Genomic DNA, 15,951 nt, shown 5'->3' on the forward strand with positions numbered 1-15,951 from the left:
TTTTACTGATGAGCCAGAAGAGAAAAATGGATGGCTACTCCCACCTAAAAGCTACTACCTGCTCCTCCCCTCTGGCCCATCCCTCTGCAACGGCACCTGCAAGAGCTTACGCAGAGGGCCAGGCTTAGCTCCCATGGAGAACCCCGCAGAATTGATGCAATTCCTTGCAAACCTGTTCTCTGAGCAGGCTAATTTTCATGAGCCCGAATAAATCCTTCCTGTGACAATGAGTAATTTTTATGGTCTTTCTGCACTCATCTAACTAATTGCACATCTCACATTTTACAATTTCCCCTCCCCCATCAGTACAAGAGTAGTGGTTAGCAATGACCTTAGCTTCTTCTCCCTCAGAACCTATTCAAAATAATTAGAGGGAGAAAATATATATGGCTAGGGTCTACCCAGTACAGTTACCCTCTTATCTCTTTCTCCTGTTGTTTTCCAGTCTATGTGGTTAAGTGAGCTGATGGTGGTTGAGAGGTCATGCATGCTCTGAAGTGATGAAGTCCTATCAATGGCACAGTTAGCTCTCCACAGCCTTCTGTTGCCCTTTTATAAATTTAATGCAGCAAATTTTATCAGTGGCTAGCTGGAAGGATACAGAAATGCACAGACACGGAGTAGGAGGGGAAGATGGATGCATAAACAAATAAATCTGCCTGTCAGGGAGATGAAGGCATAACTTAGCTAGACCATGCCACTCAGTAGGGATCCAGAAAAAGAAGTCCTTTCTCTTAGTTGTCAAGAGAGGTGATGTTTGAGTTAAATCTTGAAACCTGAGTAGGAATTCTCCAGACAAGAGTTCCAAGGAAGTAGAATAATACATGCAATGGTTTACAACAGCCTTGCATGTTTGGGGAACTGCAGATGTTACAAACACTGCAAATAGCATGCAGGGTGTTGAGGTGGGGGACAGAAAAGCAACTAATGAGGCCAAAGGTGTTTGGCAGAGCAAAGTTCATGGAGACCTTTCAGGCCACCCAGGAGAGTTGCGGCTTTAATCTGAAGGCAGTGGGAGAACGTCAAAGGTTTTTGTTGTTATTGTTGTTGTTGTTGTTTAAATAACGAAGTAACACAGAATTTTGGAAGATAGCTGCCTATAGTGTGGACCAGGGCAAGCCAGAGGAAGGGAGAAGAGTGAAGGAGGTTGTTTCATGGAAAGAGGCACAAAGGATGGAAAACAGGAACAAACCTCAAAGAAATACAAGTGTGAGAATCAACAGAGCTTAGTGACTGGTTTATTTGAGTAGTGATGGAGAAAGGAGGACATGAAATACTCTTAAGTGCCCCGAGGGATGATGGTACCATTCCTCAAGGTAAGGAACATAGGAGGTTTGGAGAGGGCGAGAGTGAACACAATTCAGACGTATGAAGTTGTAAATGTCAATGAGACATCTTAATAAAAAAAAGCTTTTTCCACTGATAACACCAAATGCTTCCAAAGATGTGGAGCAACAGAAACTCTCATTCATTGCTGGTGGGAATGCAAAACGGTGTAAACGCTTTGGAAGACAGTTTGGCAGTTTCTTATGAAACTAAACATAGTCTTACTATATGACCCAGCAATGACAATCCTTGGCATTTATTCAAGAGTTAAGAACTTTCATTCATGTAAAAACCTGCAAGAGTGTTTACAGCAGCTTTATTACAATTGCTGAAATTTGAAAGACACCAAGATATCCTCTAGTAGATTAATGAATAAGTTAACTGTGGTGCATATAGAAAATGAATATTATTCAGCAATAAAATGAGCTATCAAACCATAAAAAGACATGGAAGAACCTTTACATGCACATTGCAAAGTGAAAGAATTCAATATGAAAAACTACATATTGTAAGATTCCTACTATATGACATTCTGGAAAGGCAAAACTATGGATATAGTAAGAATATCAGTGGTTTCCGGGGGTTTGAAAGGAAGGTGGAAGGAATAAATAGGGAGAGCACAAAGAGTTTTTTTTTTAATCTTTATTTCAGTAGTTTTGGGGGTCAAGTAGCTTTTGTTACATGGATGAATTATAAAGTTGTGAATTTTGAGCTTTTACTGCACCTGTCACTTGAGTAGTGCATACTGTACCTAATGGTGTAGTTTTCTGTTTATCCCTAGCCTCATCCCCTGCCCTCCCACATCTAGAATCCTAGCACATGACCATTGGAAGAGGCTTTATACCAGTTGCTACATCTTAAATATGGACAAATAAGTCCTAGAGAGAATAATGATATGACTGGTGTTGCCTAACATATTCTTAAAAATTCAAAAAAAATGTGGCACATATACACCATGGAATACTATACAGTCATAAAAAAGGATGAGTTCATGTCCTCTGCAGGGATGTGGATGAAGCTGGAAACCATCATTCTCAGCTAACTAAACTAACATAGGAACAGAAAACCAAACACCACATGTTCTCACTCATAAGTGGGAGTTGAACAATGAGAACACATGGACACAGGGAGGAGAACATCACACACCAGGGCCTGTCAGGGGCTGGGGGGCTAGGGTAGGGGTAGCATTAGGAGAAATACCTAATGTAGATGACAGGTTGATGGGTGCAGCAAACCACCATGGCACATGTATACCTATGTAACAAACCTGCACAAGTATGCCATGTGCATGTATCCCATGTATAATTTTTTTAAAAGCATAATTTAAAAAAAATTATACATGTATCCCATGTACAATTTTTAAAAATTCACTCATCCAATTAATTGTGTTTGGCATTGGAAATGATGGATGAGAAGCAGTGAGTAATATTAAGGTACTTACTGTCCAGTGGAGCAAACCAGCAATAATCAGAACATTACAAAGCAACATAATAACAACTACAATGGAGGTGATGGGGTGCAAGGACAGCAAATCCAGGGTTAGGCTGGTCTCAGTCATTAAAGTCCCAGTTGTGCGTGGGGGCCACAGCAACATCTCTTCCCAAGGCTGCGTCAGGGCCGGAGTCTGGCCACTCAGTTTCCCTTTCAGTCTTTCTCCTTTTGAGCATGAAGAGGCTGATGCTGGGAGGTTTGTTGGGAAACCAAACTGGATGACCTGAGAGTTGTGAAGACAAGTGGGAAGGACTGGCTGACCCAGGTTTTCTATTGCTGAACTGATACTAAGGCAGTATTTCCCTAGAGTAAACAAAAGCATTCCTCACTGCTTGTTCACCACAGGTAATTCTGATCCAGGTAGCTGCATAGCTTTAGGTGGGCTTCCTCAAGTGTTCCCACAGCTTTCTTCTTTGTGGATTCCCTCCACAGTTTACCATGGAGACCAGAATCCTCTTCCCTGGGGATGCCCCAGCCTTTCCTCCTGGGAAAGTAAGCATGCTTACTGCTATTGGTCCAGCCTCATCTTCCCAGGCTGTATTGACTTGGCACAGTGTCACCGATGGGGCTGCGTCCTCTATAAGCCCCCACAAACACACATCCATCCCATCTGGGGAGAGAAAGCGGTTTTATCTACTTTTCCACTTGGCTTCAAAGAATCTAGAAAATCAGATATTTTGTATCAAGTGACAGGCAACAAGCAGAAATCTGAAACCCACTAAAAAGTCCTTCTTTTGATGAAAAATTTCTTCCGTATGTTTGGAAACCAAGCTGCTTTCATATTAATTGAATATACTGAACACACACAAAAACAAATGTCTTAAGATCTTTCTTTTACAATGCTGGGTTCAAAAGTTTTGGATTCCAAAATGTTTCTGACAAGGCTTTAACTGTTTTTCAGGCATGTTGTGTGCTTCCAGCTCAAGCCGGCTCTGTGTTTTAGGCCAACCAACACAATTCATATAACATCCTTGCACATTTCCACCATTTCCCGCCTCACCATGCCTCAGAGGACTACAGGCTCCCCAAGACGGTGAGTGACGTGTGGCTAAGATATAGGAGTTAAGGTGGAATCACTGGCAGATACCTGAACAGAAAGTCAGAATAACTAATTTTTTTTTAACCCAGCCCCCAACACTGGTCAGTTTGTGACTCTGTAAAATACAAAATATCTGAGCTGATCTTTAAGGTTCTTTCAAGTCGTCATCACTTTGGGGCCTGAATAATGAGGAGTGCAGGCCTTGTATCCCATTGTCTGGAATAAAAAAGAACAAAGGAGTTTAAGTATTTGAGAAGAAAAAAAAAATCCCACAAAGGTCTCACATGCTTTCTTGGATGCCAAGCCCAATGCTAGGAATGCGAAAAGTTGGCTGGGTGTGGTGGTTCATATGTGTAATCCCAGTGCTTTGGGAGGCTGAGGCAAGAGGATCACTTGAGGTCAGGAGCTCGAAACTGCCTAGGCAACATAGCGAGACCCCATCTTTATAAAAATAAAAATTAGCCAGGCATGGTGGTGCACACCTGTAGTCCTAGCTAGTTGGGAGGCTGAGGCAGGAGGATCACTTGAGGCCAGGAGCTTGAGATTGCAGTGGGCTATGATCATGCCAATGCACTCTGGCCCCAGCAACACAGTGAGACCCTGTTTCTAAAATAAATAAATGAATAAATAAATGTAAAAATCCAAAAAGTTCTCGAAGGTGAAGATGCTCTTCTTTCTCTGGCTCCCTCCACAGCCTGCACTGCAGATAAATGAGTCAGTATTACATGGGTAAAAATTAAGATTTAGCTTCATGAAAAAGTAAATATTTTAAAAATATATACCCACGAAAAATCAGGTAGCGATTCAGCAGTGAAGTGCATGGTAATGATTATGAATGTTTTGCCATCTGCTTGAGCCTTCCCTCATATTCCCATCTCTGGCCATCCCTGCCCCAGACCCCCTCTGCAGCCACACTGAATAACCTGATGTCCCAAGAATACGCATCTTTGTGCATGTGCTTCCAATTGCTTGGCATGTCTATCCTTACTCCCTGTGACCCATTCCTCGTCATCTTTCTGGATTCGAGTTAAAATCATCTCCGCTGTAGTTCTCCTGATTACCATCATGAGTTAACAGCCCCCTCTCCCTGGTCTTCTAGAATCCTCAATGGTCTAATTCATGCCTCCATGAAAGTACAAACACATCATCACTATCTGTAACATATCTGTCATCCCCGCTGGGTCGTGAGGTCCTTAAAGGCAAGGATGAAGTTATCCACTGTCATCTCCAAGGCCCCAGGTGATGCCTGGCCCTTCACAGTTTGCTGAGTTAAGGCAGTGGTGTGACAGCATCCACTTGCACTGACACCCTGCAGTGGCTTCTGAGAATTGATTTTTACATTTTCAGGAATTTTGTCAGCTGATATTAAAAATTACAGTATGCAAATTAACAAATAAAGTATATTTAAAACACAAGTTAGAGATAGTCCAAATTCATCACTCGCTAGTGATGTCACAACATTTTCTATTATCTACGCACTTGGAGGAGCTATTTATGTCTGTCGTACCTGTGTGGTGGAAATGCCGTGTGTGCACCTGCCCCTGCACGTCTCTTCCATCTCCACATTTAGTAACCTCATGTTGGTAGCTTGGAATCGGCCATGGTAGGACTATTTATACCACAGAAATTGGCAAATGTTACAAATCAGGGCTTGATTTATTGTTTTGTTGATTGTCTAGACTTAAAGTGACAAAGAAAATGTTAATGCAGACTAAATTTATAATGTCTGTAATCATTACATTGTGAATAACACACACACACACACACACACACACAAAAACCCGTATTTAAAAACAATTATCCTATTCAACCAAGAAGACTCTCTTGTCGTTGATAAACAAGTAAAATTGTTACATATATCTTTGTTGTTTTACTTTCATTTTATTCATTAAAATATCAACCAACGTTCATCCCAGAATATTACTTGTTTGTCAATTGCAATCATAGATTGGCTACAGATACAAGAGTTTGACAAATATTGATGAAAGCATTCAGTGAAAATCATCTAGCAACATAGCACTTACAATAAAGAGTATTGCATATTTTTATTCTTATTTGTAAGTTGTGTGCTACACATCCTTTACTTCAGTAACATTTAGAATAAGCTAATGTACGCATATGAGTGCATACATTTCTCTTCCTGGAGAGCCCATTGTCAAACATCTACCAGCACATCACCAGATTCAGAGAGGAGGGACAATAGAGAGGGCGATAGTAGTCAGGGAGGGCTACGTTTAAAGAGGAATTGAGACTTAGACTCGATGTAGGCATGAAGGGTCAGAGAAGGAGACTCAGCAGAAGAAGCAGTGCAATATTTCCATCAGGCTGAACAGCACAACCCCAGGCACAAAGGTAGGAAAAGCTTCGTCCATGGAAACAGTGAGAGTTAGGGCTGCTGGAACAGAGGTGGCCATTGAGAGTGGTAGTGGGAGATCAAGCCGGATGGGCTGGGAGGGGCTGAGCTCCGGAAATCAGTGCAAGTGAAGCAGAGAAGTTGGATTTGATTTAGCAGGCAATAGGGAGCCACCTCTGATTCTTGAAAAAGAGTGATGAGAAGTGAGCAGTGATTTAGAAGGACTAATAGGGCCATGGTATTCAGGATAGATTTGAAGAGGGAGAGGCTAGCTCTAGTCCCTCTGGAAAGCAAACTGAGATTATGAAGCAAGTCGGAACTACAAGGATGAGGTAATGCAGCCCTCTCCTCCATCCTGCATGCACCTTCTCTCTTCCTTTCCCTCCACCAAGCTCAGACACATCCCCCTCCCCCAAGCTTCCCCTCCAGCAGCCCTTTTCTCTGGGGTCTATGATTAATTCTCTCTTAAAAGTATCTGGTGATAGATCCAAAGGGCATTTCATAAATTCTGCCTTATTATGTGAAGCCTAGTTTAAAAACTTCCTTTTGTCTAGATCAATTACGAAATAATAAAATCTGACCTGAACCCAAGCCTGCATCTATTTTTTCATTGAGAAAGGGATTCAGTGATGATCAGAAAAATCTAAGAATAAGGGAATTTGATTCTGTAGTTTCAGGACCCTAAGAAGTAAGTAGCTAAATCAGCATTAACAAATTTTCTTCAAAATCGATTATATCTATTTCTCCTCAGTACCTGTGTGCCCTCCCCTCACGCACATGCACCTGCTCACACATGCACATAGGCCCCCAGTACCTAGCAAACTGTCAGTCGGCTACCTCCAGCACTGCCATCCCTATTATCCTGAGCTACTGAGAAGAAAGGATGCTCAAAAGGGAGTGATCAAATTAAAAAAAAAAAACAGATGCCTGTGCCATGTACACTCTTTCCAAGGATTCTTGTTGCTTTTAGGGCTACTGTATGGCACCTAAATTATAATGTCCTTCGGGAATTATATCTGCCTTTGCATGTTTTAGTGGCCCTGCCCCAATTATCATACCATCTTGGTGAAAACAATGTCTGGCTAGTAGTTCCATGGCACCAACATTGTGCCATAGTTGGCCAAGCATTTAATGGTCTATGGGTCATGAGGTTGGGGGGTGCTGGTGTTGGTGATGCACACACGGTTACTTTGCCCTGGATTCTCCCCTCTGTCAATATTGACCTGCCTCTGTTTCCCCTAGGGACATGGTTGGGCAGGTACCGGATAGATGCTGTCACTGCTGAAAAAGAAAAAAATATCCAAAGTGAGTAATGTTTTTATGCTTTTTCTTTCAAAATATGATCTATTACAAAAAATGGTATGCCCAGGCTTTCTTTCTTCCTATATTTTCTAATCGTTCTAGAAGCTCCCATCATAGGCCCTTAAACACATTCTTACACACACACACACACACACACAAGCAGTATTTCTATCCTGTCTTCAAAATGCCAACCCTACAAACAGATTACCCAAATTCCACAGACACTTCTAATTGTTGCTTTCTTCCTAGTTCCCTTTTGACAACCCACATGGGTTTGGCTCCCTAATTTTTCTCCCTACCAAGGACAAAAATAAAAAGCCATGAATGCCAGAAATTTCTAGGAGCTAACTCAGCTCCTTCACATAAGTGATTTTTTTTTTTTTTGAGACAGAGTTTGCCCAGGCTGGAGTGCAACGACACAATGTCGGCTCACTGCAACCTCCGTCTCCCAGGTTCAAGCAATTCTCCTGTCTCAGCTTCCCAAGTAACTGGGACTACAGGAGCGTGCCACCACACCCTGCTAATTTTTTTTATTTTTAGTAGAGATGGGGTTTCACCATGTTGGCCAGTCTGGTCTCGAACCCCTGGCCTCAAGTGATCTGCCCGCCTCAGCCTCCCAAAGTGCTGGGATTATAGGCATAAGCCACCATGCCAGGCCCACATGGGTGATTTTTATGCTGGGCTCTGTCAGGCATCTGATACTCAGTCCCATGTTAGGTCTGTCTTGCTGGTGCCCACACCTAATCATGGAAAATCCATCAATCCATGGCAATCAAGAAGCCCTTCTTTTTTGCATTGAGCTAGGCACTTGAGAGCTCTGAAGAGTATAAGATGTATTTCCTGCTTTTCACAGAAAAGAAAAGAACATGTGCAAAACTCTGAAAATAATTCCGTGCTCCATTGGGTGGCACTGACCAGCGGAGACAGTGTAGTATTATCATCAAGTGCTAGATTCCTAGTCCGAAATGTGGGCTCTCTGTAGCCTCTTCCTTTTCCCCCATGACACACAGACCCACAGACCCATGGACGCTATCTCTTTCATAGAAAGTTAGCCATTGTAGTGTCTAATCCAGTTCACTCTGTGCCCATACTAAGATTTCCAGAATTGGGTATTCAGTAAGATTCAACACTAATGTGGGACAAAGATACTTGGGTTGTATTTCGCAGGTAAGAGAATACACATTATTCCGGGTTTTCTTTTTCTTTTCTTTTTTTTTTTTCTTTGAGATGGAGTCTTGCTCTTGTCACCCAGGCTGGAGTATAATGGCACGATCTCAGCTCACTACAACCTCCGCCCCCCGGGTTCAAGAGGTTCTCCTGCCTCAGCCTCCTGAGTAGCAGGGATTACAGGTGCCCACCGCCACACCCAGCTGATTTTTGTATTTTTAGTAGACATGGGGTTTCACCATGTTGGCCAGGCTGGTCTTGAACTCCTGACCCCAGGTGATCTGCCCTCCTCGGCCTCCCAGAGTGCTGGGATTACAGGCGGGAGCCACCACGCCCACCTGTTCTGGGTTTTCATATTCATGTCTCTACCTGTGAGGGTTGTGCCTTCACTCCGACTGGCATGAACAAGTCAATTTTCACAAGACCCTGACCTCTAACAGGAGCCCAAAACTGGAGCATGAGATTTCAATTAGGTTGTTACGTTGTGGGTTAAGTCGCTGGTTGGTTCGTTTTAATCTACTCTCAAAGTATTTGCTTCTTCTAGTTTGTGATTGAAAAAGGTTTTCAAAACACTCATCTTTCTGTAGTTTTTTTAACATCAAAGATTCTTGTCAATAAAGTTTTGAGTCTAAGGACTACATGAGGTTGGAAAGCTAATTTATTTGTTCCCCAAGACTTACTCTATTTTCCTTTAAAAAGAGCCCAAAGTTTCTCTAAATCATCTTTTATAGTCTGTCATTGTTCAGTGTTGAGATGTTGTCCTTTATAGTCCTTTATAGTTCATTTACATTTTGCTTACTACAGATTAAGCTCATTTTCTTTTAAGATATTTTAAAAAGATGATTTGTTCATTCATTTACATTCATTCAGCAAATATTTACGGAATACCAACTCTGTGCCAGCACTGTTCCACACTTCTCTCTAGGCACCATACTGTAGCTACTTCAACAAAATATATCAAGTTCCTGCGGATGCGCAGGTACTGAAGACAAAATGAAGAAGAGAGAACAGCCCCTGGCTTCCCCTTAATAGGCACCAAGATTGTATCTTGAAGGGGGTGACTGCACGGCTCCTTTGCTTGTGTGTTTATGTGTGTGTGCGTATGTCACACGAGCTCTGCTTATTAATGGTAAATAGACATAACTCTAAGGAAATAATGTTCACAGATTCCATTTACCAAGTCCCTACTTTTTCCCAGCCAATATACTAGTCACTCTACACACATTTAATTCTAACAGCAAAACTATGATGTAGGTACTATTACCATCCCCATCTTACAGATGAGGAATCCACGCTCAGGGAGACATGGCGGGTCTCTAGGACACAGACAGGCATGCGTCCCTGTAGAGGCACTGCGTTCCTGCATGCCGCTCTGTGGTCCCAGTGCTTTTATCTTGTATTTTTCTGCAGTGACTGTAGCAGGCCTGACACAAAGGCTGCCTCAGGATGTTGAAAGATGTGGTTTCTTGTATCTAATATTTAATGAGGTCATACATACTCCTCATGGATGCCTTTGACCTTCACACCATGTAGAGGCCACTTGCTATGCCAGAGGGGCCTCCTTGCTCCTGCCTTCCTACAAACATTCTGCATTCCCTGGGAGGAGTGTCCAGGGAGAGCCCACAGATAAATTGGGAAAACTCCAAGTCCTGGTCCTGCCCATAGCTAGGCATGACGTGGGCATGATGGAGAGCTCATTGCTTGGCAAGCCTTGCTGCCTACCACAAAATATGGTGGAGAGGAATTGGGTAGCAAAATCAGTGGGTTTCTTACCTTCAGGAGGTAACCTAGCTATGCCAAAAATGCTAAGATACTGTCCCTCTACCTTAAGTCACAGTTCTGCCTATGCCCATCTGTGACCCCCATAAAAGGATTTATAGAAAAAAAAGAAAATTTGGTAAGCCAAGAGAGTGTCCTGATAAAACCATCTAGTCCCAAGACAACCCCTAAAAGAAAACATGCAAATCACAGGGCCAGGCTGGTGTGAGAGCAAGGATGGCCTTCCATCCTCCAAACTCCACATCTGGCCAAAGAGCTTTATGAACAACATAGGAAGGTGCACCTGGGAACCCAGGGCCCAGAAATGATGACTCTCACCTTGTACAATGCTTCCCTGAGGGCTGCCCACTCTATGTGGTCAAGCATCCACCCTACCCCATTGTGCGCACATTTCAGGCACCAACATTTGCATACAGCATCTCTAATCTGCAGAGTAATCATGACTGTTCTCATGACTAGAGGATAAAGTGACTCTCAGAAGAACCCAGGGTCCCATGGCTGGCCTGTCAGGTTGTAGAGCCTTTGTTCTTCTGAGGATGCCATGTGCCCCTAGTGGGGGTCTCCCTCACTTAGACAGGGGGAAATAAGCAAAAACATTAAAATCCAGCAAAAAATATACTATCACACTGAAATAAGGAAAGAGATACAACCTCAAGCTAAAAACTGCCAAAGGCAGAACCCAAGGAGAGAAACAGAGAATTTTTTTTGCCATCCTCTCACCTCTGAAACAGAACTAGTGAGTCGACAAAATAGGAAAAATCTTAGCAGAACTCTTGAACTTAGGAGAGGTAGATGAAGTGGGTGCCTCTGTATTTCTCCACTTCTGGCTGGGTGGGAGTAGATTAGGCCTATTAAGGAGAGAAAGGTGACAATGGAAATAAACAACATAATTTGACTTTCTCTGTTGGGAAGTTAAGGTCCTGGGATCTACTCTGAATTTGGAAGGATTTCCCCAGGACAGAAGAATTACACACTCCACTGGGGGGTGAATTCTGATAGAGGACATTAAAAGGAGTGGGCCATGCCCTAGCTGACTTCTCCTCTAACCTATCAGACCCTCGTATAGAGAAGAAGATGAACTGCAATTCTTGTCCTCTCAGACTTTGGTAAAGAGGGAAGTCACCTAAGCAAGGGAGAGAAGCCAAGCCAAAACCACCTACTGGTGTCAGAGCAACTAGAAGGTCTAGACAAACCACTCACATCAGGTGTGACAGGACACACAGAAATGGTGATTGTGTGCAAACCACAATGAACACAACCGTTGAAAGAATGAAAAGTTCAGCACAAACTTCAGCATGGAAGAAATATAATCCCAGAACAGAATCAAAACACTTGTGCTTCACGCTATTGAAACATTTACTAAGAGCTGGAACAAAATTTTAAAAATAGTTTAAAGACCAGGCTGGGCACAGTGGCTCACGCCTGTAATCCCAGCACACTGGGAGGCCAAGGCCGGTGGATCATCTGAGGTCAGGAGTTTGAGACCAGCCTGACCAGTATGTTGAAACCCCTTCTCTACTAAAAATACAAAAATTAGCTGGGTGTGGTGGCAGGTGGTGGCAGTAATCCCAGCTACTCAAGATGCTGAGGCTGGAAAATTGCTTGAACCTGGGAGATGGAGGTTGCAGTGAGCCAAGGTCATGCCACTGTACTCCAGTATAGGCAACAGAGTGAGACTCCATCTCAAAAAAATAAATAAATAAAATAGTTTAAAGACCAGATGACAAAACAATGAAATGAGATGTTTGCAAATTAGGGCAAAATTTGAGGCGGAAAAAAATAATACTATCATGGAACAATAAATAAATAAGATGCAGCTAGGAAAAGAACAATTTTAGCCAAAAATCAAAGTACTAACACAGAAAACGCTCAAGATAATTCTAGCAAATACGGAAGAAAAATACAAAGTTTGAAAATCAGTTGGAATATAATCAATGTGGAGAAGAGAAAGACAATTGAACATATGACTAATGTATATTATTGATTTTCCGGAAGTAAGGAATTCAACAAATATGCCAGAGAAAGATTACATATATAATATATATAATAGGGGGAATTTTCCCTGAAATAAAGGAATCAAACATTTGATTGATTTGAAACTTTCTTGAAACCTGAGACAACAGATTTAAGTGTGGACAACAACAAAACCTGGTGACATCTGTGAGAAGGGGTTGGTGGTGTAAAGAGACAAGTGTAACCCAATGCCACCCAGCATCCCCGATACCCACAGAGCCATGTGCATCTGAAGCTTTGTGCAAGGCTGTGCGGAACATCCAGGCTGGAGAGGAGACAAACCGCAACTTGGACTTGGCAATGAGTGGGGGTGCAGATGAAAGAGGAAAACACCAGTTCCAACTCTCAAGATCATCACCAGTTCATGGAATTTTGTCACTCTTTCTCTTGCAAGTGACATAAACCCAACCCAACATGGCTTAAGTAAACGTATGAATTTATTGGCTCATGAAGCAAAACCTCAGGAGAGGTTTTGGCTTCAGGCCCAGTGGCTCCAGGTGCTCAAACAATATCTGTCTCTATCCCTCAGCCCTGCTGTCTTCTGTGTAGGCCCCATTCTCAGGCAAGGTTTCCCCACGTGATGGAGATAAGAAGTTCACCTGCTAGTAGTACAGGCTTTGGATCAAAAGTTCTGGATTTGAGGCTAGGAAGGTTTAATTCTCAAATCAGCCAGAGCTGAATCACAGCCCTGAAGGAGATGGGGTCAGCTGTGAGAGTGGGAGAGAGATGGTACCTAAAGAATACCAAAGTGTTAAAAGAAGAAGGGGAAGTAGATATTAAGAGACCAAAAACAATACAGGTCCACAACACTGAAGAATAGGACACACGCATACACACTCATGGTTACACAGTTTCTCATACACCTAAAACTATAACATACAAAGAACTGCACATTAATATGATAAAGAACAATCACCCAAGGCTTAAGAGAAAGAGGAAAAAAGAACCATCATTCAAGTGGAAAAGATTCCGACACCTAAAGTTTCCATATATCCACCACCACTACTATCATCACTGTTAATAAAACAAGTTAAATCTCTTTGTGTTGCAATGGGCACCATGCTAATAGGATGCACTAGAGACAGTTTCCTCCCTTTAAAGACTCACCCTATAAAACAGGCAGAGCATGGAAGATCAGGTATAAACAAGTAGAGAGCAGATAGAAAGTCATGGAGCTAATATGCTCATACACTCATAGAACATTGATCCATTCCCTCTACAGGTATTCACGTTGTACCTGCTGAGTGCCAGTACTGCATGCTCTGGGGATTCCATTCCTGCCCCTATGGAAGAGGGGTCAACTTTTCCAAAACATCATCTTCTAGAGGAAGAAGCTGAAGCCCAGCAAGGAAAAGTAACATAACGAAGATCTCAGCAGAATGACGGTTATCTGAGCATCTATATTCTGGGGTTGCAAAAAGAACAAGAACGTAGGGTTCAATGGACCTGAGTTCCAGGCCTCACTCTGTCACCAGCTGACTGTAAGAAGCCCACCCACCTCCACCTTCTCTAGATCACATGTTTTATGGCCGCCTCAAAGGCGTGAAGCAGGTGAGTCGTGCTGCCTCTGCCAACATCTGCTTTGTGAGCCTGGGAGTATTTCACGGAGATGTTTCTCTCGACAGGTTTATGGCTGGTCTTGGCTCAGTGCCTTGAAAACACTGATCATGTGATGAAACGAGAATGTCATGCTGCGGGCCATCAATAAACCACACTGGCATTCCCGCTCCCACCCCGACACCACTCCACCCATGCAATTTCCCTCCCCTTCAGCCTCCTCCCTCCCCACCTCCCAAAGATATCCAGACCAGGCCAACTCATTAGGAAGTGACATCCACCAGGATTCTTGGCCCCAGTCAAAAGAGTGGCCAGAGCTTGTCTGCTGCTTGCGGATACTTTTCTGTTTTGTGTTAAACGTTTGAGTTTGGAAATGAGCAAGAGCTATGTCTAAGGGAAACCAGACAGCTTGTTTGAAAATCCACTAAATGGCCATCGGAGGATCATGCCAGATCTTAGAACAAAGTCTCAGTTATTGCCTGAAAGCATAAACTTTCAGGCAAGGCATCTTCTCCATGCTCCTCAGCATCTGCAGAGTAGCAGAGACTTGAAAGAGATGTGTCCTCTGGATCCCACGTCAGATGATACATCTTGGGATTTCCCTACCTGGGGGAAGAGTGGGTTTTCCTGAGGAAATTGCAAGTGGGCCTGAGTTTCTAGAGTGTGAGGTGAAATGGATGCCACTGTACTGAATTCTGACCAAAACTCTGGAGAGATGCTGCGAAGGAACTCAGCTTCCACTGAAAGGGTCAGTGAAGGCTTCAAGGACAGTATCACAGCACTTTCCTATCACTTCTATAAAAATCACATCCACTTTTTCCCACCAACTTGCCCATTCTCCTTGTCTGGGACACAGGCCCTGGTACTTTACATTCAGGTCATTTCCAAGGGATAGAGAGAAATAGACAGAGGCTGAAAGAGTGATGGGGCCGGGAGACGCTGAGATCATTCAACTACCAATGCCATTCTGAACTAAGACTTTTTTTTTTTTTTTTTTTTTTTTTTTTTTTGAGATGGAGTCTCGCTCTGTCACCCAGGCTGGAGTGCAGTGGCATGATCTTGGCTCACTGCAAGCTCTCCCTCCTGGGTTCACACCATTCTCCTGCCTCAGCCTCCCAAGTAGCTGGGACTACAGGCACCTGCCACCAAAGACTTTCTTAAACCACACTCTCTCCCTGCCAAGAAAATGGGTATCATGTCCTTCATAACCCATCCTGAAAAAATGAAACCGACATGATGGCAGAGTGGTATGAAAAAGACTCTGAATTTGGAATTGAGGGACAAGAGCTCAACTGCCAACTCTCTTTATTCCCCCTGGGACATTGGGCAACTTAATCTACTTCTCAGTGAGTTGATCTGTCACTTGGGTCTAATAATACAACTTCTTACGACTACTTTTTAAAGCAAATAAAAAGATATATTTGAGAGAATGCTTTATTAATTGCAAAACACTGCCCAAATTTCAGTCATTATTATTTCCTGTCTGTCTATTTTCCATCTATCTGCATCCTGTTGACGTAACAAGGTAGCTATCTTCCATATGGTCTGTCTCCCATTTAGATTGTAAGCCTTTTGAAGGAGGGCTGGTATTTACTTTTGCATAATTGGTACTCAATAAAAGTTTTTGAATGAATTAGTGGAGAAGGAATGATGGGCAGTCATGGGTTCCTGCCCTCGACCTGTTGTTCCCAGCACCTGGGAGCACTGCTCCATGTGTCTGTGTCAGCTCAGGCCTGGCTGCCCTGGGTCAGCCCTAGGGCACCAACTGGACAGGGCCAGGCTTGGCTAGAGTCCAGCAGAATGCCTTTGCCCTGACTGCCCACCTGTTCTGTGACTGAAGCCAGCACTAAACTTAGCCATGGTGACTCATGGATATAGGGCTGCCCCAGGCCTCACAAGTCATCCTAACAACCCACCTGGCTGC

At 43.2% G+C, this 15,951-nt stretch overlaps 1 long non-coding RNA gene across 2 annotated transcripts in view; it reads left to right on the forward strand.

Annotated features, from left to right (window-relative positions):
- LOC105369617 (uncharacterized) overlaps positions 1-15,660 on the forward strand; it is a 257,798-nt gene extending 242,138 nt beyond the window's left edge. For both annotated transcript variants that reach the window (NR_188065.1, NR_188066.1), the window contains 3 exons: positions 3,719-3,850; positions 7,452-7,514; positions 13,693-15,660. This is a non-coding gene — a long non-coding RNA (uncharacterized LOC105369617). The remainder of the gene's footprint in view (positions 1-3,718; positions 3,851-7,451; positions 7,515-13,692) is intronic.
- The last annotated feature ends 291 nt before the right edge of the window (positions 15,661-15,951 follow it).

The sequence above is a fragment of the Homo sapiens genome, chromosome 12, assembly GCF_000001405.40.
Source record: "Homo sapiens chromosome 12, GRCh38.p14 Primary Assembly".
NCBI lineage: Eukaryota > Metazoa > Chordata > Mammalia > Primates > Hominidae > Homo > Homo sapiens.